The sequence below is a fragment of the Homo sapiens genome, chromosome 15, assembly GCF_000001405.40.
Source record: "Homo sapiens chromosome 15, GRCh38.p14 Primary Assembly".
NCBI classification, from domain to species: domain Eukaryota; kingdom Metazoa; phylum Chordata; class Mammalia; order Primates; family Hominidae; genus Homo; species Homo sapiens.
The window spans coordinates 78,812,645-78,835,302 of NC_000015.10; the positions used below are offsets into that span (position 1 = coordinate 78,812,645).

General features: G+C 48.4%; 1 pseudogene, besides 4 other annotated features; it reads left to right on the forward strand.

Annotated features, from left to right (window-relative positions):
* Positions 11,961–12,130: an enhancer, noted in NCBI's record as "experimental_41019 CRE fragment used in MPRA reporter constructs". NCBI's record gives its function as "activates a minimal promoter by MPRAs in K562 erythroleukemia cells, with activity observed for both the introgressed and non-introgressed 15:79117032 variant alleles {active_cell/tissue: K562}" and the evidence as "EXISTENCE:reporter gene assay evidence [ECO:0000049][PMID:34662402]".
* Positions 13,964–14,133: an enhancer, noted in NCBI's record as "experimental_41025 CRE fragment used in MPRA reporter constructs". NCBI's record gives its function as "activates a minimal promoter by MPRAs in K562 erythroleukemia cells, with activity observed for both the introgressed and non-introgressed 15:79119035 variant alleles {active_cell/tissue: K562}" and the evidence as "EXISTENCE:reporter gene assay evidence [ECO:0000049][PMID:34662402]".
* Positions 18,348–18,567: a silencer, noted in NCBI's record as "silent region_6716". NCBI's record gives its function as "represses an Ori minimal core promoter by ATAC-STARR-seq in GM12878 lymphoblastoid cells {active_cell/tissue: GM12878}" and the evidence as "EXISTENCE:reporter gene assay evidence [ECO:0000049][PMID:35858748]".
* On the forward strand, positions 18,397–19,386 carry LOC390614 (relaxin family peptide receptor 3 pseudogene; annotated as a pseudogene).
* Positions 18,755–19,302: an enhancer, noted in NCBI's record as "H3K27ac-H3K4me1 hESC enhancer chr15:79123741-79124288 (GRCh37/hg19 assembly coordinates)". NCBI's record gives its function as "activates a minimal SCP1, AML or CMV promoter by ChIP-STARR-seq in naive H9 embryonic stem cells {active_cell/tissue: H9 hESC(naive)}" and the evidence as "EXISTENCE:reporter gene assay evidence [ECO:0000049][PMID:30033119]".

The following is a 22,658-nucleotide window of genomic DNA, read 5'->3' on the forward strand; positions in this document are numbered from 1 at the left end:
TCTTCCTCCAGTCCCTTGATACCTTCCTCTTCGCCCAACCTACCAGCCCCTCCTGGCTTCACCTACTTCCCTCCCAGCTACATCTACTGCTTGACTCCTGGCCCCTACCCAACCACCTTGCATTTCTTCCCCACTGCTTACACCAGCTGGTCTTGCTGCTCAGTGACATGGACAATTCAGACCACCACATCCTACCATGCACACTGCATACAATGAGCCTTTGTAGCTGGCACCCACTCACTTCTCCCTCCATCTGGACACAGTGAAACAGGTGCCCTCCAGCAGTCAGAGACAATGCTTCCACCAGGGCTCTGTGGCTCCCTCCCCTCCTGTCTCCTCAAAGGTCCTGCTCCAGGTGTCCCCCGCTTTCCTTGGTCTCCTTGGGTTGGTGACCGTCAGTCTAAAAACATTCTTGTCTTCCTCCTATTAAAGATACTGATAATAGCTGGGTATAGTGGCACAGGCCTGTAGTCCCAGTGATACTCAGGAGGCTGAGGAGGGAGGATTACTTGAACCCAGAAGTTCCAGGCCAGTCTGGGAGACATACTGAGACACTGTCTCTAGGGAAAAACAAACAAACAAACAAAAAGCAGGCAAGGTGCCTCACACCTATAATCTCAACACTTTGGGAGGCTGAGGTGGGAGGGTCACTTGAGCCCCGAGTTTGGGACCAGCCTGGGCAACATAGTGAAACACCGTCTCTACAAAAAAATTAAAAATTAGCCCAGCATGGTGGCATATGCCTGTGATCCCAGCTATTTGGGGGGCTGAGGTGGGAGGATCACTTGAGTCCAGGAGATTGAGGCTGGGCCAGGCCTGGCCCCACCAATGAGCAGTAGCCAAGATCACGCCACTGCATTCCGGCCTGTGCAACAAAGTGAGGCCCTGTCTCAAAAAAAACAAAAAAAGTACTGATAATACCCCTCCATGGACTGGGTGTCCCCTCTAATTCCCACCCCACATATCTGCTCCCTGTCTTAGTCAAACTTCTCCCTCAAGGTTGTCTAGATTCCCCCTTTTCCCATTTGTACCTCAGGCTAAGCCTCTTGTCCCCCCATCTTGGTGTCAAAGCCAAATTCCTTCTCCACCTTGACCTGCACAGTGCATTCTAGAGATACCCTCCCTGTTCACATACCTCCACTCTGCCCTCATCACCTGGCACATCTCTTCTTCACTCCATAAGATCAAGTATGCACTGCAGACCCAGGGCACTGGGGACACAGCTGTGAACAGGTGGATAAGGTCTCTGTTCCCTGGAGCTCCCACTCTGGAGGAGGCCATGGACAGCAAGCAAATAGACAGATGGATAAACAATTCAGACCACCATATAAACAAGACCAGCTACAGAGAGGTGCTTTGAAGAAAATAAAACCGGAAGTGACTAGAGTCTACTTTCCATGGGGTGGTCAGGGAAGGCCTTCCTAAAAAGGTGACATTTAAGCTGTGATACCAGAATGACAAAAAGGAGCCAGTCATGTGAAGGTGAAAGGGAGAAGATGTGAGCCAGGCATGGGATGCATGCCTGTTGTCCTACCTGCTCAGGAGAATGTGGAGGGAGGATCCTTTGAACCCAGGAGATCGAGGCTGCAGTGAGCTCTGATTGCACCACTGCACTCCAGCCTAGGCGAGAGAATGAGAGACCCTGTCTCTAGAAATAAAAATAAATCTTAAAAAGCTGGACACTGGTCAGGCGCAGTGGCTCACACCTGTAATCCCAGCACTTTGGGAGGCCGAGGATGGCGGATCACTTGAGGTCAGGAGTTCGAGACCAACCTGGCCAACATGGTGAAACCCCCTCCTCTAATAAAAATACAAAAAAAATTAGCTGGGCGTTGTGGCGGACAGATGCCTGTAATCCCAGCTACTCAGGAGGCTGAGGCAGGATAATTGCTTGAACCTGGGAGGCAGAGTTTGCTCTGAGCCGAGATCCTGCCACTGCACTCCAGCCAGCGACAGAGCGAGACTCAGTCTCAAAAAATAAAAAATAAATAAAAGATGGGCATAAACTTGATGTCCCTGAGACTTGTCCTTTCAGACCTAGGCTGTACGTCACCCCTTCCAGCACGTCCCCCCTGACCTCTTAGGTTCCCCAGAGCACCCTTTGCCATCCCCGTTGACAGCTCACTAGACTGCTATTGTCTGGTTATGGGTCTGTCAACCCCGACACACCGTGAGATGCTAAGGTCATGTCTTGGTCTTTGTGATCCCTGCCACCAGCACAGCAAAACCTAGAGATCAGGAGGATCTGGGGAGGGGACACACAGCCCTCCCTGGCCAACACCACAAACTGCCTCCATGCTGCCAAGGCCCAACAGTAGATTGGAGGCTTTTTTGAAATGCAGCCTTGGAGTTTGTGTTTTCAAATCCCACGTCTGATGACAGTCCCTGCCTGCTTCCTCCTCTGTCCCAGGTCCTGGTCTTTACTCCATCCACACCCTGCTGGGTGCCTTCATTTTAAAGCTTCTCGGAAACCATAGGATACAAAAAAAGGATACAAAAAATGATAAGCCTTAGTCATGCCCTCATGATGCAAAAATAATTCAACTGGAAAAACAGGAACAGCCAACTCCAAATTTCGGGGAGTGAAGTGTACATTTTGTTTTTGTGTTTTTCGGTTTTATTGTTGTTGTTGTTGTTTGAGATGGAGTCTCGCTCTGTTGCCCAGGCTGGAGTGTAGTGGCACGATCTTGGCTCACTACAGCCTCTGCCTCCTGGGTTCAAGCAATTCTCCTGCCTCGGTCTCCCAAGTAGTTGGGACTACAGGCATTCGCCACCTCACCCAGCTAATTTTTGTATTTTTAGTAGAGACAAGGTTTCACCATATTGGCCAGGCTGGCCTCAAACTCCTGACCTCAGGTGATCCGCCCACCTTGGCCTCTCAAAGTTCTGGGATTATAGGCGTGAGCCACCATGCCTACCCCAAAGTGTACATTTTGAACAAAGCAAGAGATTTGATATTTCAACACATATTTTATGTCATTGTTCAGAGTGTCAAGTATCCAGTTAGTGAGCTTCCCCCCTGTATCTTGATATAAATTATTTCATTTATTGTTTAAATGATTATCATGCTATATGACCCAACATCTCCAGTAAGCTTTAACATAGCTAAAACATTACCAGAAACTGATCAAAATTTAAAAAGAAACTATATTTATTCTGCTTTCATATATCCATTTATATATTGATAGATTGCTTAAAAAGTTGGAAAGGGCTGTATGTGGTGGCTTTTGGGAGGTTGAGGCAGGAGGATTGCTTGAGCCCAGGAGTTGGAGACCAGCCTGAGCAACATGGCAAAACCTTGTCTCTACAAAAAATTAGCTGGGTGTTGTGGCACACACCTGTAGTCCCAACTAATCGGGAGGCTGAGGTGAGAGGAATGCTTGAGCCTAGGAGGTTGAGGCTGTAGTAAGCCGTGATTGTGCCACTGCACTCCAGCCTGGGGAACAGAGTGAGACCCTGTCTCAAAATAATAAATAAATACTAATAAATAAAAAGTAGGAAAGTATAGCAAAACAGTGTCCATTTAAAATTATAAATGAATAAATAACAAAGAAAATGAGGCACACAATTTTTTTTTTCTTTTTGAGACAGAGTCTTGCTCTGTCACCAAGGCTGGAGTGCAGTGGCGTGCTCAGGGCTGACTGCCTGACTGCAGTCGCAAACTCCCCAGGCTCAGGTGATCCTCCCACCTCAGCCTCTCGAGTAGCTGGGACTACAGGCGTGTGCCTCATGCCCAACTAATTTTTGTATTTTTTGTAGAGATGAGGTTTCGTTCTGTTGTCCAGGCTGGTCTCAAACTTCTGGGCTTAAGCGATCTGCCCTCCTCAGTCTCCCAAAGTGCTAGGATTACAGGCATAAGCCACGGCACCTGGCCAAGGCACACAATTCTTAAAAACAAAATAAAACCTCTTTGGGCCTCAACTTTCTTATCTGTCTAGTGGAGACAGTGACCCTACACCCCTATTTCATGTGTTATCTAGAACAGTGGTTCTCAAGCGGGGGTGATTCTGCCTCCATGGAATTTGCAATGTTTGGAGACATTTTTGGTTGTCACAACCAGGGAGAAGGTGCTACTGGCATCTAATGGGTAGAGGCCAGGGATGTGGCTAAATGACAACCCCCTGCAACAAAGAATTCTTCAGCCCCAAGTGTCAATAGTACCAAGGCTGAGAAACCTGCTCTAGAGGAGTAAAGAAAGGGTTTGAGGCATTTGGCAAAAGTAAAAGCCTTTATGTTTTATTTTGTATTTTGCGGTAAGACAGCACAGAATTAAAAATGTAAACTTTACAAACATTGAAAAGTAATTATTCCCTTCCAAACCTGACCCCTGGTCCCTCAGTGCTCCTTCCCAGGGGCCATTACTTGTTTCAGTTTATCATGAATCCTTCCAGAAAAATGCATTGCAAACACAAAGATATATTTTACACACATGCTAGCATATATCCTCTCTATCTTTACCTGGCTTTTAAAAAAAAATTAACACTATAACTTGGAGGCTGGGTGCCCTGGTTCATACCTGTAATCCCACCACTTTGAGAGGGTAAGGTGGGAGGATTGCTCAAGCCCAGGACTTCAAGACAAGCCTGGGCCACACAGTGAGACTACAAAAAATAAAAAATTAGCCAGAGAGGCTGTGGTGAGCTATGATCATGCCACTGTACTCCAGCCTGGGCAACAGAGCAGGCAACAGAGCACCCTGTCTAAAAAATATATATACATAGGCCAGGCGCGGTGGCTCACGCCTGTAATCCCAGCACTTTGGGAGGCCGAGGTGGGCGGATCATGAGGTCAAGAGATCGAGACCATCCTGGCTAATATGGTGAAACCCCGTCTCTATTAAAAATACAAAAAGTAGCTGGGCATGGTGGCGGGTGCCTGTAGTCCCAGCTACTCAGGAAGCTGAGGCAGGAGAATGGCGTGAACCCGGGAGGCAGAGCTTGCAGTGAGCCGAGATCGCGCCACTGCACTCCAGCCTGGGTGACAGAGCGAGACTCCGTCTCAAAAAAAAAAAAAAAAATATATATATATATATACACACACACACACACACACACACACACACATACATACAAAAGTATATAAACTTGGAGATGGTTTCATATCCTTGGTTGTGGAGCTTGTGGCACATAAGCCACAATATGAGATCTATGAGGGCAGAGAATCTTTATTTTGCTCTCTAATGTGTCCTAAGTACTTCGAACAGTGGCTGGCGTATACTATGTGTTCAATAGCTATTTTCAATATTTAAATAAATGTTACATGATTGATATTCCATTATGTGCATATGCCATTATCCTCATCTCCTACTGAAGGATATTTAGATTGTTTCCAATCTCTTTCTGGCCATGTCCATGATGCACCCATGTGAGTACATCTTTAGGATGAAGTCCTTGAACTGAGATTGCTGTCAGAAATGTGTGTATTTGTAACTTTGATAGACAGGTATTGCCAAATTAAAGACATTATTTTTGGTGGGTCCCTTCCACCCCAGTAAATTGCAAGGATTGCAAAATGATCGAAAATGCCAGTTTAGGTTGCAGATTTCTAAACAAGGATGCTCAAAAAAGCTCCCTCATAAGACAGAACTGGGCGGAGTATGAGCTGGCCTTGAAAATGTATGGGATGATTGACTTGGAAAGGGATGCTGAGCTGCCACTGTGGGCCTGATTAGTCATTGTTCTGGAAGCCCTGGAGACATGGATGTTTTCAATCTATCCCCATTCTCTAGAGCACTGCGGCCTTCACCTGCGAAAGCCATGGCCACAGCTGCCTCTGCAGCTTCAGAGTGTGTCCTGCCCCCACACTGTAGGGGAGAAATGCCACAGGAAGAGTCATGAAAATTATCCACATTGAGATTTCAGAGCCATCAGTTAGCTGATGGGAAAAAGGCTCATGATTGGCTTCTACTGCCTTTGAGCCGCCACTTGGGCAGTGAGAATGATGATTTGATGGAGGCAAGTTGAGATAGTGAAGGAATGCTCTATCCTATCTTCTGTCACTGTGCCTTACACACAATGTCTCATGTAATCTTTCCAACATGAAGCAGATATTATTTTCCTCATTTTATGGATGAAGAAACTGGGGCATGGAAAGGTTAAGTAACTTGCCCAACGTCCCACATTTGGAAGTGTCGGGGCCAGGACTGGCCTAATTCCAGTGCCTGGATTTCTAATCGCTCCATATCACTGCCTCTCCAAATTACCAATTTCGGCTTCTATCATTAAAGGATCTGTTTCTTCAGGACTCCTCCTTTTAGAGTTGTTTCTAAGTCGGTCAGACAGCTCGATATATGGGAGGCTGCCACATCCCCTTCACCAGAGACTCATTGATGAACACCTACTAAGTGCTAATTGCCAAGAGCCATGATGATTTCCAAAGGGACCCTTAATGATAGCTATCACGTTCTTTCCTGCAGTCAAATCTTATCTTCTTCACTTCTAGCTCATCAACACCAAGAGGGTATGGGCCATGTCTGATGGGCTGGTGCTTAGTAGGATCTCAGAAAACTGCTGTCTGAGAGTCTAACCAGCACTGGAAGTGTGAGCCAGTGCACCCTACCTGACCCTTGTCCTGGCACAAACCCAACCATCTTTGGGTTTCTTTACCACCTTGATGCTATAGCTTACTTATTGGCTTGGCTGTTTTCTTCTTCTTTTTTTTTTTTTTTTTTTTTAGACTGAGTCTCGCTGTATCACCCAGGCTGGAGTGCAGTGGCATGATCTCGGCTCACTGCAACATCTGCCTCCCAGGTTCAAGCGATTCTCCTGCCTCAGCCTCTTGAGTAGCTGGGATTACAGGTGCCCGCCACCATGCCTGGTTAATTTTTGTATTTTTAGTAGAGACGGGGTTTCACCATGTTGTCCAGGTTGGTCTCGAACTCTTGACCTCAAGTGATCCACCCGCCTCAGCCTCCCAAAGTGCTGGGATTACAGGTGTGAGCAACCATGCGTGGCCTCTTCTTCTTTTTAAAATTGTATTTTTCTTCTTTGTTCACACCATTGTTTCAGCAATGGATGTTCCATATTTTTGTGTCTGGAAATAATTTGAAAACTTTTAATGCTTTTCTATTGTGTTTACTGAATATTTAGGAGCTCTTTCTGCTCATTATTTATCTTTTATTTTTTCATGCATTTTACTAACTTTTGTAAAGAAAATATTTGTTTTCACATTTAAAAATTAGAATCCCGGCTGGGCATGGTGGCTTATACATGTAATCCCAACACTTTGGGAGGCCAAGGCGGGTGGATCACTGGAGGTCAGGAGTTTGAGACCAACCTGGCCAACATGGTGAAATTCCGTCTCTACTAAAAATACAAAAATTAGCCGGGTGTGGTGGCGGGCACCTGTAATTCCAGCTACTCAGGAGGCTGAGGCAGGAGAATCGCTTGAACCCAGAAGGCTGAGGTTGCAGTGAGCCAAGATCGCACCATTGCACTCCAGCCTGGGTGACAAGTGAGACTCTGTCTCAAAAATATATAATAAATAATAAATTTAAAAAATAAAAAATAAAAATCAGAATCCCTGCTGACAATAAGATGCTAGATAAAATGAATTACATGGATCTTCTTTCTTTTTTTAAATCAATAAGTCATTTCACTCTTTTATTTATCTAACAAATACTCACTCATTTCTGCTGCCTGCCGTACAGCTTAGACAAGAAAAACAGCATGAGCCTTATTTTGAAACTGCTATTGCCAACATAAAAAGTGAAGTTGGTTATATAATTTTGGGGTTGGGAAGAATATTTTAAAGATGAAATCAACAGCAAAATCTGTAGGAAAACAGTTTATAGATGTGCCTGCATGAAAAGTAAAAACTTGTCCATATCTTAAAACTTCATAAATCCAACATCCAAAAAATAGGAGACCTAGCAAGATCAGAGGAAACAGAGGGAAGACTATCAAATAAATAATACAAGAATTTTCTCAGAACTGAAGCACATGAATTTCTAAATGGTTTTACTGGCTTCCAGCACACACACAAAAAGACCCACACCAAGACATGATATCTTGGCGTACCGTAACTCTTGGATATTAGAGAAAATTGTTTCCAGATTTTCCAGAGAAGGAAGAAAAATAGTCCCAAAGACTCTGTAATTGGAGTGCAAACAGAATTCTCCTCCAGCAATGCTACAGATTAGAGGTAAACAGAGCAATGCCTTCAAAATTCTAGGGAGAATGGTTTCCAACATAGGATTCAACTCCCAGAGTCTTGATCAAGTGTAAGAAGGTGGAATAAGAACACTTTAAGACATACAAGCTCAAACTTTTTTTTTTTTTTTTTTGAGTCAGAGTCTTGCTCTGTCACCCAGGCTGGAGTGCAGTGGTGTCATCCAGGCTGGAGTGCAGTGGTGTGATCTCAGTTCAGTGCAACCTTCACCTCCCAGGTTCAAGCAATTCTCCTACCTCAGCCTCCCGAGTAGCTGGGACTACAGGCGCCTGCCACCACGACTGGCTAATTTTTGTATTTTTAGTAGAGGCAGGTTTTTGCCATGTTGGCCAGGCTGGTCTTAAACTCCTGACCTCAGGTGATCTGCCTGTCTCAGCCTCCCAAAGTGCTGGAAGTACAGGCGTGAGCCACCACACCGGGTTCAAAATATTTGCCTTCCATGCACCCTTTTTCCAAAAGTTACTAGAGGTTGTGCTCCACCAAAATGAAGAAGTAAGTCAAGAAAGAGAAAGGCTGAGGACCTAAGGAACAGATCCAACACAAACATAAGGTGATGGGAGCCCGCAGAATAATAGTAAAGGTAGATTCTGGGATCACAGCTGGTGAGTAGGCCAGAAGAGACACCAGTCCAGACAGAAACAGGAAGGCAGAGACCTAGGAGGGAGGCTTCACAAGAAAGGAACAAAACCCAAAGAAATAGAGATTATTGGCTCTATGAACAGGAACCCACAAAGGCTTAATTGCAAACCATCTGAATGACCAATTGTAACACCTCGTGGTAGAGACAAGACCCACAGGCCTGGCTCAGCTCAGCTGCCTCCCTCCAGGCTAGATTCAGGATCTGGATGTTCTTAAGGTGAGCTGCACATAATGATGGAATGGGTGGCAGGCTCTGGAGTTAAATGTAGTTGGGTTCAAGTCCCAGCTCTGCTATGTGTTTTTTGTTTGTTTGTTTTTGAGATGGAGTCTCACTCTGTCACCAGGCTGGAGTGCAATGGCGCAATCTCAGCTCACTGCAACCTCCGCCTCCTGGGTTCAAGCAATTCTCTTGCCTCAGCCTCCTGAGTAGCTGGGACTACAGGCGCTTGCCACAACACCCAGCTAATTTTTGTATTTTTAGTAGAGACGGGGTTTCACCATGTTGGCCAGGATGGTCTCGATATCCTGACCTCGTGATCCACCTGCCTCAGCCTCCCAAGGTGCTGGGATTACAGGCATGAGCACTGTGACCGGCCTTTTTTTTGTTTTTGTTTTTCAGACAGGGTCTTGCTCTGTTGCCCAGGCTGGAGTGCAGTGGCGTGATCTCGGCTTATTGCAACCTCCACCTCCCAGGTTCAAGCGATTCTCCTGCCTCAGACCCCCTAGTAGCTGGGATTACAAGCTTGCACCACCATACCCGGCTAATTTTTGTATTTTTAGTAGAGACAGGGTTTCACTGTGTTGGCCAGGTTGGTCTCAAACCCCTGGCCTCAAGTAATCCACCTGCCTTAGCCTCCCAAAGTGCTGGGATTACAGGTGTGAGCCACTGCACCCAACCAATCCTTCTGAGTCTTAAATCCTTACTATAAAAAAAGAGCTGGTGGCTGGGTCCAGTGGCTCATGCCTGTAATCCCAGCACTTTGAGAGGCCAAGGCAGGAGGATCACTTGAGCCCAGGAGTTCGAGGCTGCAGTGAGCTATGATCACAGCACTTCACTACAGCCTGGGCATAAGAGCTAGACCCCAACTCAAAAGAAAAGGGCAGGGGATTAAAATAACGACTCATGATATAATAATGATTACAGTAACACCCTATGACATTAAAATAATGCCCCAAATGAGATGATATATGTGAAAGTACTTTGTAAACTAGTGTGAGTCACAGTGGAAGTTCCTTAGCAACCTCTGCCAACCTAACTCACTACAACACCACCAATCTCCCAGTAAAACACAGAGACTAATGCCCAGCCATGCTAGCCCATTGCTACTAGTACAGTATCGTTTCCTTCCCTACATTAAATGTGGCCCTTTGGACCAACAGCAGAGCATCACCTAGGAGTTTGTTAGAAATAAAGCATCTGGGCCAGGCACGGTGGCCCACACCTGTAATCCCAACACCTTGGGAGGCTGAGGCAGGCGGATCATGAGGTCAGGAGTTCGAGACCAGCCTGGCCAATATGGTGAAACCCATCTCTACTGAAAATACAAAAATTAGCCTGGTGTGGTGGCACGCACCTGTAGTCCCAGATACTTGAGAGGCTGAGGCAGAAAAATCACTTGAACTCGGGAGGCAGAGGATGCAGTGAGCTGAGATCATGCCACTGCACTCCAGCCTAGGTGACAAAGTGAGACTCCATCTCAAAAAAAAAAAAAAATGAAAAAGAAAAGAAATACAGCATCTGGCTGGGTGTGGTGGCTCATTCCTGTAATCCCAGCACTTTGGGAGGCTGAGGCCAGAGGATTGCTTGAGACCAGGAGTTCAAGACCAGCCTGGGCAACAGAGCGAGACCCTGTCTCTACACAAAATCAAAAATTAGCCAGGCGTAGTGGTGCATGCCTGTAGTCCCAACTACTTGAGAGGCTGAGGCAGGAGGATCACTTGAACCTGGGAGCTGGAGGTTACAGTGAGCTGTGATTGTGCTACTGCACTCCAGCCTATGTGACAGAGTGTGATGCTGTCTCAAAAAACAAACATACATACATACAAACAAACAAACAACAGATATACTATGTCCTTCTGAAGGGAGGAAGGAAAATTAATAGAATACAGGCCAGGCACGGTGGCTCACGCCTATAGTCCTAGCACTTTGGAAGGCCAAGGCGGGTGTATCGCTTGAGCTCAGGAGTTTGAGACCAACCTTGGCAACATGGCAAAATTCCATCACTTCAAAAAATACAAAAATGAGCCAGGGTGTCAGGGAGAGGCAAGTGGAGATAGTTTGAGCCTGAGAGGCAGAGGTTGCAGTGAGCCAAGATCGGGCCACTACACTCCAGCCTGGGTGACAAAGCAAGAGCCTGTCTCAAAATAAAATAAAACAAAATACAGCATTTAAAAACATTATTTTATTTTTCAATTTTTATTTACTTATTTTTTTTGATACCAAGTTATGAGACTGGCTAATTTTTTAATTTTTGGTAGAGACAGGGTTTCACCATGTTGCATTATGTTAATTTTCTAGTTAAAAGTTGAGCAACCCTATGAGGTAAACTTACTACAGGTTGAGCATCCCTAATCCAAAAATCCAAAATCTGAAATGCTCCTTTTGAGCACTGACCTCATGCCACAGGTGAAAATTCCATACCCGACACCTTTGCTTTCTAATGGTTTAATGTACCTAGACTTGGTTTCATGCACAAAATTATTTTAAAAATATTTATTTCTGTAAACTGTTTGAGTGCAGAGATGTTCTTCACAATCTCAATACAGTACAAATTTCTTCCCCGAAACAAAATGAGCAAGGAAAAGAAAAAGAGCTATATAAAATGTGCCCATGAAGAACCAAGCCAATCTCATCTTTCTTTAAAAACAAAACAAAACAATCCTTTTGAATGTGTCGTGCAGGCCTAGGATTGAGGCCGCAGGCTTTTGGGGCACCATGAGCCCAGGGCTTTGCTCAACTCACAGCTAGTGTGGCAGGCGGAGTAGCCCCCTAGCCCCAGCCATCCTCACTGCTTGCGCAGAAGCTTCCTGAACCTAAGGGATCTGTTCCCAGCTCTCCTTAAATTCCCAGTCCCCACCCTGTGCCTCGCTTCCTAACACCCTCGTCGTTTTAGGAGTCCCAGAATTGAATCCTGAAATACTCCCTCCGTCAACTCTGGGCTCAGACCTTTGTCCTTCTCTGTGTCACAAGGAAATTTCAGTCGAGAGGGCGGGAACGGGTGTTTTCAGACCGTGCAGCAAAGCCATTGCCAGGCAAGTTTTAAGGCAAATTTTATCTCTTCTTATTTGATCTGAGCCAGACCTAACCTTCTCACCACCAAGCAATCCTGCCTCTGCTGGACCTACAACTTAGGCAACTCTGGATGGAGGTGGGATGAGGGAGCCCAGGACAGATTTCGAGAGGTCTGGGAATGGATGTGTGCATGCACAAAATTATTTAAAATAATGTATAGACTGGGCATGGTGGGTCACGCCTGTAATCCCAGCACTTTGGGAGGCCGAGGCGGGCGGATTACCTGAGGTCAGGAGTTCGAGACCAGCCTGGCCAACATAGTGAAACCCTGTCTCTACTAAAAATACAAAAATTAGCCAGGCATGGTGGTGCCCATCTATAGTCCCAGCTACTCAGGAGGCTGAGGCAGGAGAATTGCTTGAACCCAGGAGGCGGAGGTTGCAATGTGCCGAGATCATACCACTGTACTCCAGCCTGGGCGACAGAGGGAAACTCCATCTCAAAAGAAAAAAATAAATAAATAAAATAAAACAATGTATAAAATTACCTTCACGCTATGTGTATAAGGCGTATATAAAATATAAATGCATTCCATGTTTACACGTAGACTCCATCCCCAAGATTTGCATTATACATATGCAAATATTCCAAAATCCAAAAAAATCCAAAATCTAAAACACTTCTGATCCCAAGCATTTTGAATAAGGGAAACCCAACCTTTATCTCCAATGTACAGACAAGAAAAAATGGAGATTAAGTCCCTTGCCAGTAACTGGCAGAGCCAGGACTTGTAGGTAGATCTGTCTGCCTCCAGGTGCCAGGCCCCACAGCCATTACCCTATTCCCTGGAGGGAAATGCCAAAAGTGTAGAGAAAATACAGATGGTGCAGAAACATTTGAGAAATGTACAGCCTTGCCAGAAATTAAAGGAATGCAAATCCAAGCAACCGTGGAGCATTTACCACCTATCAAATTTGCGAAGGTTTTTGTGCTTTTGCTATTTAATTTGCTTTACATCCAAGTAATACATGTTCATGGTTTAAAAGAGTCAAGTTGTATTACAGAAATACAAGCTGAAAACCAGCCCACTCTGCCCTAGCCCATCAAACACACACACACACACACACACACACACACACACGCACACACGCACTCATGCAGTGGGAGGAGGGGAAGGCCCCTGAGCCAGGCCTGTCTCCCTGCCATGGCCTTGACCTACTGTCTGTTGCTTCCGGACCTCCCCACTTCCTCTGGGCTCTCCAGGGACTCCGGGAATACTGGCCTGATATTTCTGTGATCTTCCCAGTGCAGCAAAGCAAGGGGCCGAGTGGCCTATTGTGGAGATGGGAATGGGGAATCAGAGGGATTATGCAGCAAGACACCAAAACTTGACACAGTCACCTATAATCTCATGGTGGGAAGTTTTCTCAAGGGAAAAATCAACACTGGCCACATAATTTGTATAAAACTACATGTGGAAATGCTATATTTTCATTGCAGTAATAATATAAAGAGTTTTGTGTTTTAGGGTTTTTTTTTTTTTTTTTCGAGACAGGGTCTTGCTCTGTCACCCAGGCTGGAGTGCAGTGGCATGAACATGGCCCACTGCAGCCTCAACCTCCTCTGCTCAAGTGATCCTCCCACCTCAGCCTCCCAAATGTTGGGATTACAGGGGTAAGCCAGTGCACCTGGCCATAAAGGGATTTTTTTTTTGAAACAGGGTTTCCCTCTGTTGCCCGAGCTGGAGTGCAGTAGCACAAGCATGGCTCACTGCAGCCTCCAACTCTTGGACTCAAGTGATCCTCCTACCTCAGCCTCCTGAGTAGCTAGGACCACAGGCACATACCACCACACCCAGCTAATTTTTTTTTTTTTTGGTAGAGAAAGGGTCTCACTATGTTGCCCAGGCTGGTCTTGAACTCCTGAGCTCAGGTGTTCCTCTTGCCTTAGCTTCCCAAGGTGCTAAAATTACAGGTGTGAGCCACTGTGCCTGACCATAAAGATACTTTTTTAAAAGAAAAATAAATGCATCCAGCCAGGCGCAGTGGCTCACACCTGTAATCCCAGCACTTTGGGAGACCGAGGTGGGCAGATCACTTGAGGTCAGGAGTTCGAGATCAGCCTGGCCAATATGGTGAAGTCCTATCTCTACTAAAAATACAAAAATTAGCCAGGTATGGTGGCACACACCTGTAGCCCCAGCTAATCAGGAGGCTGAGGCAGGGGAATTGCTTGAACCTGGGAGGTGGAAGTTGTAGTGAGCCAAGTTGGAGCCACTGCACTCCAGCCTGGGCAACAGAGCAAGACTCTGTCTCATAAATAAATAAATAAGAAAAGGAAATGTATCCCCAAATTGTGACCCTCTCTCACCAATAACTGTTTCTCTTGGGAGACTCCCCTGGTGTGCAGATTTTAGGAGTGTTGTCAGCAGAGCACCTCAGGGAAAACTGGACAGGCTCTTCAGAGGGAGGCTTCTGTTCACCTGCTGGGTGGGCCTTTGGGCAAGTCCCCTCTCTGAGCCTGCTTCCTCCTGTGTAAGTCAGGATCACATTCCTTGTCTCACAGAGCAGTCATGGGGACCAGATGAGATGATCCTTATAAAATGCCTGGCACTGGGCCTGGCACATAGTAAATGCCCAGCCAATGCAAAGAAGCTGCAGTGAGCTATGATCAGGCCATTGCACTCCAGCCTGGGTGACACAGTAAGACCTTGTCTCTAAAAACACTCTTAGAATTAGAAGGTGTCTCATTTTACAAATGAGAAAACAGACCAGAATGGGACAGTTACTTCATTTTACACAGAGTGTTAGGGCACAGAGACTAGAACCCAGGCCACTTGACATTCAGTGACAACTTCCATTCAAGGAAGAAAAAGTCCCAGGCATCAGGCCCTGCTGGAAGGAAACCCTGGGAAAGCATGATCTAATTTTGCAAACTTTCGATCAGATTCCCAGTTCATCCAGGCTCTGGCCTAGTCTATGTCTTGGTAAGTAGGTTAATCTCCCCTTTCCTAACCGCTGGGGAGAGAATGTCACTTAACTGCAGATTCCCTGTCTCCTGGGCAAGCAAGGCAGAGGCCTGGGAGTGATGGGGAGCCTCTGGTGGTGGTGATTGATTGAGGGCAGGAGACATGAGGGAGATCTGCCCTCTAGGGACTACCTCCCAGCTCCTGGTGGCATGTTGTGCCTGTGTTCTTTTTTTTTTTTTTTTTGAGACAGAGTCTCACTCTGTCACCCAGGCTGGAGTGCAATGGCGTGATCTTTGCTCACTGCAAGCTCTGCCTCCCAGGTTCACGCCATTCTCCTGCCTCAGCCTCCCAAGTAGCTGGGACTACAGGCGCCCGCCACCATGCCCGGCTAATTTTTTGTATTTTTTAGTAGAGACGGGGTTTCACCATGTTAGCCAGGATGGTCTCGATCTCCTGACCTCATGATCCACCCGCCTCGGCCTCCCAAAGTGCTAGGATTACAGGCGTGAGCCCGGCCTGTGCCTGTGTTCTTGATGGAGGTAGGAAAGAAGGAAAAGGTAAGTGCACAGTATGCCAGGGTTGACATACAGTGGGAGCTCCAGACTAAAGTTGGCAGAGAAGGTCCAGAGAGGGCCTTCAGCAAAACGGGAGGTCACTCTAGCCTCTCAATAATAATCACAAGAAGAAGAGTTCCGCACCAGGCACAGAGCTGAAGGCTTTCTCTCTGGAGGCTGGTTAATTCTCCTATGACCCTGATGAGGGGTTATCAGCATCTTCTTTTACAGATAGGCAAGATTAATTAGTTAACCCCCGGCCGGAGGTGATGGCTCACACCTGTAATCCCAGCACTTTGGGAGGCCGAGATGGGTGGATCACCTGAGGTCAGGAGTTCAAGACTAGCCTGGACAACATGGCAAAACCCTGACTCTACTAAAAAATACAAAAATTAGCCAGGCGTGGTAGCAGGCACGTGTAATCCCAGCTACTTGGGAGGCTGAGGCATGAGAATTGCTTGAACCTGGGAGGCAGAGATTGCAATGAGCTGAGATCCCGCCACTGCACTCCATCCTGGGTGACAGAGCAAGACTCCATCTCAAAAATAAAATAAAATATGAAAAATAAAAACTGGTTATCCCCAAGACACATACCTGGTAAGTGGTATAAAGGGGACCATGGTCTCCTCCTCCCCTGGGAACCCTCCCATCCCTAAACTCATACCCCTTCCTTGAGTCTCCTGCCCTGCCCTTCAGTCTCTGTCTTGTTACCCTGCTTTGTTTCATTGTCACTCTTTCCCCCATGAGTTCATCTCATTTATTTGTTTGTCTTTATCCCCCAGTAGAAGACACACTGCAGGCTGCATCCTGCGTGCTTAGCAAGGTGGTTGGCACATAATGGGCATGCAATGAATGCTTTTGGAAGTAAACAGAGTGGTGGCAGAGGGAAGTCTTTTCTTAGGAAGTGATATTTGGGCTGAGGCCAGAGTGCTGAGAAGGAGCAGCCACATGGTAATCTGGGTGAAGGGCATTCTTGGCAGAGGGAACAGCAAAGACAAAGGCCTGAGGCAGGCCAGAGTGGTGTATTTGGGGAAGGGCCTGTGTGTCTGGAGTGAAGTGAGCAAGGCTCGGAGTGGTAGGTGACAAGGTCTAGGAGGTGGGCAGAGAGACCACAGACAGAGGACTTGTCAACCCTGGCATACAGTGGGATTGCCTAGGCACTTTTAAAAATACCAGGGCTGGCTGGGCACGGTGCCTCACACCTGTAAACCCAGCACTTTGGGAGGCCGAAGTGGGTGGATCAGCTGAGGTCAGGAATTCAAGACCAGTCTGGCCAACAAAATGAAACCCCATCTCTCCTAAAAACAAAAATTAGCTGGGTGTGGTGACGCACGCCTGTAGTCCCAGCTACTCGGGAGGCTGAGGCAGAAGGATCACTTGAACCCAGGAGGCGGAGGTTGCAGTGAGCCGAGATCATGCCACTGCACTCCAGCCTGGGCAACAGAGCAAGACTCTGTGTCAAAAAAAAAAAAAAAAGCTGTAGTGGGTGCCTCTGTCATGAGGCCTTGTAGTCCAAAGCAGGAAATCTGGATTTTATTCTAACTGTAGGAGGAAGTCACTGGAATTGGAAGCCAAGGCAGGATTGGGATCAGCTCAAAAATCACCTCCTCCAAGAAGTCTTTCAGGATTCCCCAGGCTTTAGGCCCCTCCTCTGTGCATGCTGAGCATGAGTGCTGGCCCAGTCTTAGTCTCCCAACACTGGACTTTTTTTTTTTCTTGAGATGGAGTCTTGCTCTGTCACCCAGGCTGGAGTGGAAAGGCCTGCCATCTCGGCTCACTGCAACCTCCGCCTCCCAGATTCAAGCGATTCTCCTGCCTCAGCCTCCCAAGTAGCTGGGATTACAGGCGCACACCACCATGCCCAGCTAATTTTTGTATTTTAGGTAGAGACGGGGTTTTACCATGTTGGCCAGGCTGGTCTCAAATTCCTGACCTCAGGTGATCTGCAGCCTTGGCCCCCCAAAGTGCTAGGATTACAGGCATCAGCCTTTGGGCCTGGCCCAGCACTGGTCTTTTAAACCCTGTTTGCATGTCTCTTCCTCTGACTGCTCCTAGATTAGTTGCTTCTCCGTCTTCAGCCCAGTTGTAAGCAGTGCGGCTGACCTTGGGAAGAAGATCAGGGATACTTGCAGAGCAGACCACAGTGAAGGTGGGAATGAAGGGTACCCATGGCTAAAGCAGGGGAGGAGAAATGCCTTATCAGGAGCAGGGGTTCAAGGAAGCAGGGCTGGCGGGCAGGGGGCTGCCAGGCCCCACTGGTCGGACTTGGGCACCCCTCCTTGGTCTTCAGTTGGCTATCTCGGGGCCCACAGGGGAGGTGGAGGGGCGCACTGCCTCCACGGGAAGAATTTATATGACCTCCCTTCAGCGCCCCCCGAGTATCAGAGTCCCTCTGGGAGGCACTGGGAAGCTGGAGCTGCGTCCTCGGGCGGGAACCGGCAGCTGCGGACCCACACCTTGGGTGAATTGCAGACGCTGTTTCCTCCGGTTCGGGCTTCCGGCCCCCGCGTCTCAGTTCACCCGCAAAGGGTCCCCAGTTCAACGCTAATTCAAGGGTGAAGAAGCAGCTACTGGAAATAACAGCTCGGAGGCCTTTGGGGTGGGCCACGGGTGCAGCTGGCCAATCGCAGGCTAGCAGGTGGTTCCCCAGTTTTTTAAAGGTGCTGCCGCGAGGCACTGCAGACCCCCTAGTTCTCTCCCAGCGGCTGCCGGTGTTGGAGTGGATCTGAGCGGATCCCTGCATCGCCATCAACGGCGATGGCATCCGCCAGAGGCAGGGTCGAATCGCCCGAGCTGTCTGGGCCGTGCTTCCCTTCAGCTGGCCGGAAGAGGCGTCGGGGGCTGCTCCCTAACAGCTCCCTGGGCAACGGATCAGAGAACACTAGCCCGGCCCGGAGTCCCCGCAGCCTGCATGGCCTGGACGGGGTGGCGGGGGCCGTCCGGGCGCCGGCGCTGCGGGCTCTGATTGCGGGCGCCTACTGGGCCCTGTGCGCTGTAGGCCTGGTGGGCAACGGCTGGTGCTAGTCCGGGTGAGGTCCCAGCAGTGGCGCCGCCACTGGCTGCTCAATTGCTTCCTCCTCAATCTGGCAGCCACTGACCTGCAGTTTGTGCTAACGCTGCCCTTTTGGGCCGTGGACACGGCGCGCGACTTTAGCTGGCCCTTCGGGGGTGCCATCTGCAAGGTGATGCTGACGCTCACCGTGCTCAACATGTATGCCAGCATCTTCCTCCTCAGTGCCATGAGCGTGGCACGCTATTGCATTGTGACTGGCGCGCTGCCTCCGAGCCATCGGGGCGCATCACGGGCCAGCTGTGTGTGCTGCCTGCTCTGGGCTATGGCCGTCCTGGCTACGGCGCCCACCGCCCTGTTCGCCACGGCAGCTAGGGTGGGGGGAAAGCACTCGTGCCTGCTGCGCTTCCCCGCCGGCGGCCCCAAATGGCAGGTGCTCTACCACCTGCAGAAGATCGCAGTAGCCTTCGTGCTGCCGCTGGCCACGCTGGGCACCTGTTCGCTGCTGCTGCGCTTCCTGCGACTGTGGTGCGCACGCTGGCCGTCGAGGGTCAGGCGCCGACTGCGTTCCCGAGTCACCTGTGCGCTGGCCTGCGTGCTACTGGCCTTCGTGCTCTGCTGGCTGCCCAGCCAAGCGTTCACACTCTGAGGGGTGCTGATCAAACTGAACGCCATGCCCTTGGACCGCGCTTACTTCCTGGCTCAGGCCTACCTCTTCCCGGTCTCCATCTGCCTGACGCACTGCAACAACAGCCTCAATCCGCTGCTTTACTGCCTGCTGCGGCGCCACTTCCGACAGGGCCTTCGAGAGCTGTGTAGCTGAGCCCAGCGGCCGGTGCCCCTCCGAGCAAGCTCCCACGGCAGCGCCCCAGCGGCTGCACTCTTCCAATGAGGGCCGCTTGTCGCTGCGTCAGTATCAAGGGCATGGGGTAAAGTGGCTCATATCTGGTTGGGGCGATGACGTCATGAAGCAGGGTCCGACGTCAAGGCCGGTATTCTGGGGTCTCTCAGAAGGTCAGGGTTGGTCCATTGGTGGAGATTACTTAAGATTGAGAGTACACCATTAATCTGTGTATCCTAAGGTGAGTCCCATCTCCTCTGGCTTCAGTTTCCCCATTTGAAAAGTTTGGGGATGAGATGAATCCTGGGGACTCTGCCAGGTCTAGCACTTTGATCCTCCTAGCACAGCCTTCGCAAACAGTATGAGCTCCATTCATTGCACTTTAAGGGACTTAACTGTCCTGGCTTCTGTTTTGTTTCCTTTTTATTTTTAGGAGGGAGCTCCCAGGGAGAGGTCTGGGCCATTTTTGGAAACCTACAATGGAGGAACATCAGGCTCAAAGACAGCCCTCAATGGCTGAAGATTTCTGAGCTTTCATCTTTAAGACCTTCCTGTTACATGTCCTCTTAAGATCCTGGGGACTTAGCTGACCCCAAGCAGCACTGATTCATCAGTATGCTGACTCTGAGAGTGCTAGATGTTGCATGAAAAGGGGCTGCAAGAAGCAGCCAGAGGGCTGGAGCTGTGCAGTTTGGAGAAGGGGACAGGGTAGTCACCCTCTCCTACCCCCAGGCTGGATGAAGCAGCAGTGGCCCGGGTGGCCACAGAGGGCAGAACTGGGACCAGTGGTAGAAAAGTCATAGGAAGCAGATTTCAATCCTAATTATGACAGAGTTTTTCCATTTTTGAGCAACTGAGCCTCATGAGCTCCCTGTCTTTGAAGGTATTCCAGCAGAGAGTAGCTGATCACTTACCAAGAATGTTGGAAACAGAATTGGTGCATCTAGTGGGGCTGTGGAGTGACTAGATGATTTCCGCAATTCCTTTTAGCCTGGAGACCCTGCACCTGATATGGGACCAGGTAGTAGTATAACTTCAGTGTTTGCGTGATGTAAGCCTTAGCAGTCAGCATCCTCTCTTCCCCTGCTCCCCAAAAGCACCTGAAGGTTAATCTAAAGACAGCCAACTTAAATCCTTTCTCTGGTAGGCAGCACTTGAGTCTCATATTGATGCAGAGCCACCATAAAGCAGCATTCTCAATATACATCACTCGAGATTAGATGGCCAGAGGTCAGAATTTAATTTGCATACTTGCAAAAAGACCTGCTCATAAATTTCATGCCTGATGCCTTGAATGGAGAAAGACTTGATGCTTGAACATAGAGGGAAAAACACATTCCACAATGCCTGCTGTCCAAGCAAGGAGCCTACACAGGACCTTGTGTCAACCCAAATGTCTACAGATGTATCATCCCAGAGCAGCCCGAATTGGGGGCGATGCCCATAGCTGGTGCCTGATGGAATAAGAGTGCCTGAACTGATTGGTGTGGGTGATACTATTATTCCTTCAAAGTACTCCAGATGGAAGAATCTTAGCTCCTATTGTAGCGGTTGTCTTAAAAGGAAAGTTATATTTTTGGAAAGAAGAAAACACAGTGTCAGTTCTAGGAGTCAGGAAACATTTAAAAAATAAAGAAAGAAGAGAATGCAGTGGTTCACAGGTAGCTCTAAGCCTTGATTATTTTTCTTGGTGTTCTTTTTTTTTTGAGATGGAGTCTCACTCTGTTGCCAGGCTGGAGTGCAGTGGCGCAATCTTGGCTCACTGCAACCTCCACCTCCTGGGTTCAAGCAATTCTCCTGCCTCAGCCTCCCGAGTAGCTGGGACTACACTACTGGCACATGCCACCATGCCCAGCTAATTTTTGTATTTTTAGTAGAGACGGGTTTCACCATGTTGGCTAGGATAGTCTCGATCTCTTGACCTTGTGATCCACCCGGCTCAGCCTCCCAAAGTGCTGGGATTGCAGGTGTCTGAGCCACCGTGCCCGGCCTTTCTTGGTGTTCTTTTTAAAGTGAGTCATGGCCGGGCGCAGTGGCTCACACCTATAATTCCAGCCCTTTGGGAGGCCGAGGCCAGCAGATCACCTGAGGTCAGGAGTTCAAGACCAGCCTGGCCAACATGGTGAAATCCTGTCTCTACTAAAAATACAAAAATTAGCCGTGTGTGGTGGCACATGCCTGTAGTCCCAGCTCCTCTGGAGGCTGAGGCAGGAGAATTGCTTGAACCCAGGAGGTAGAGGTTGCAGTGAGCCAAGATCGCACCATTGCACTCCAGCCTGGGGGACAAGAGCAAAACTCTGTCTCAAAAAAAAATAAAAAATAAAAATAAATGAAGTGAGTCATTTGTAGCTCATTTCTCCCTCAAGTGCAGGGGTATGTGTTTTGTGGGAGCAATAGGAGGGAGAATTCCCTACTGATGCTTTCCCCTATCTTCCTGCAGCCTATCCCCTGAGTTAGAACCAGTCCTAAGAATGAAAAGAGTGCTGAGGCGGGAGAATCGCTTGAACCCGGGAGTCAGAGGTTGCAGTGAGCCAAGATCGCGCCCCCGCACTCTAGCCTGGGCAACAGAGTGAGACTCTGTCTCAAAAAAAAAAAAAAAAAAGAATTAAAAGGGTGGAGGCCAGGCACAGTGGCAGTGGCTCATCGCCTGTAATCCCAGCACTTTGGGAGGCCGAGGCGGGTGGGTCACTTGAGGCCAGAAGTTCCAGATCAGCCTGGCCAACATGGTGAAACTCCATCTCTACTAAATATATATATATATAACTTAGCCAGGCATGGGGGCACCTGCCTGTAATGCCAGCTACTAGGGAGGCTGAGGCAGGAGAATCACTTGAACCTGGGAGCAGAGGTTTCAGTGAGCCAAGATCATGCCACTGCATTCCAGCCTAGATGACAAAGTGAGACCCTGTCCCCCACCCTCCAAAAAAGAAAGAAAGAATACCTTATTAAATAGAACTCCAGGGCAACAGTCACTTTTTTTTCTTTTTCTTTTTTCTTTTTGAGATGGAGTTTCACTCTTGTTGCCCAAGCAGGAGTGCAATGGCGTGATCTGGAACCTCCACCTCCCAGGTTCAAGCGATTCTCCTGCCTCAGCCGCCTAAGTAGCTGGGATTGCAAGTGCCCGCCACACCCAGGTATTTTTTTTTCTTTCTTTTTTTTTTTTTTTTTTAGACAGAGTCTTGCTCTGTCTCCAGGTTGGAGTGCAGTGGCACCATCTCGGCTCACTGCAACCTCCACCTCCCGGG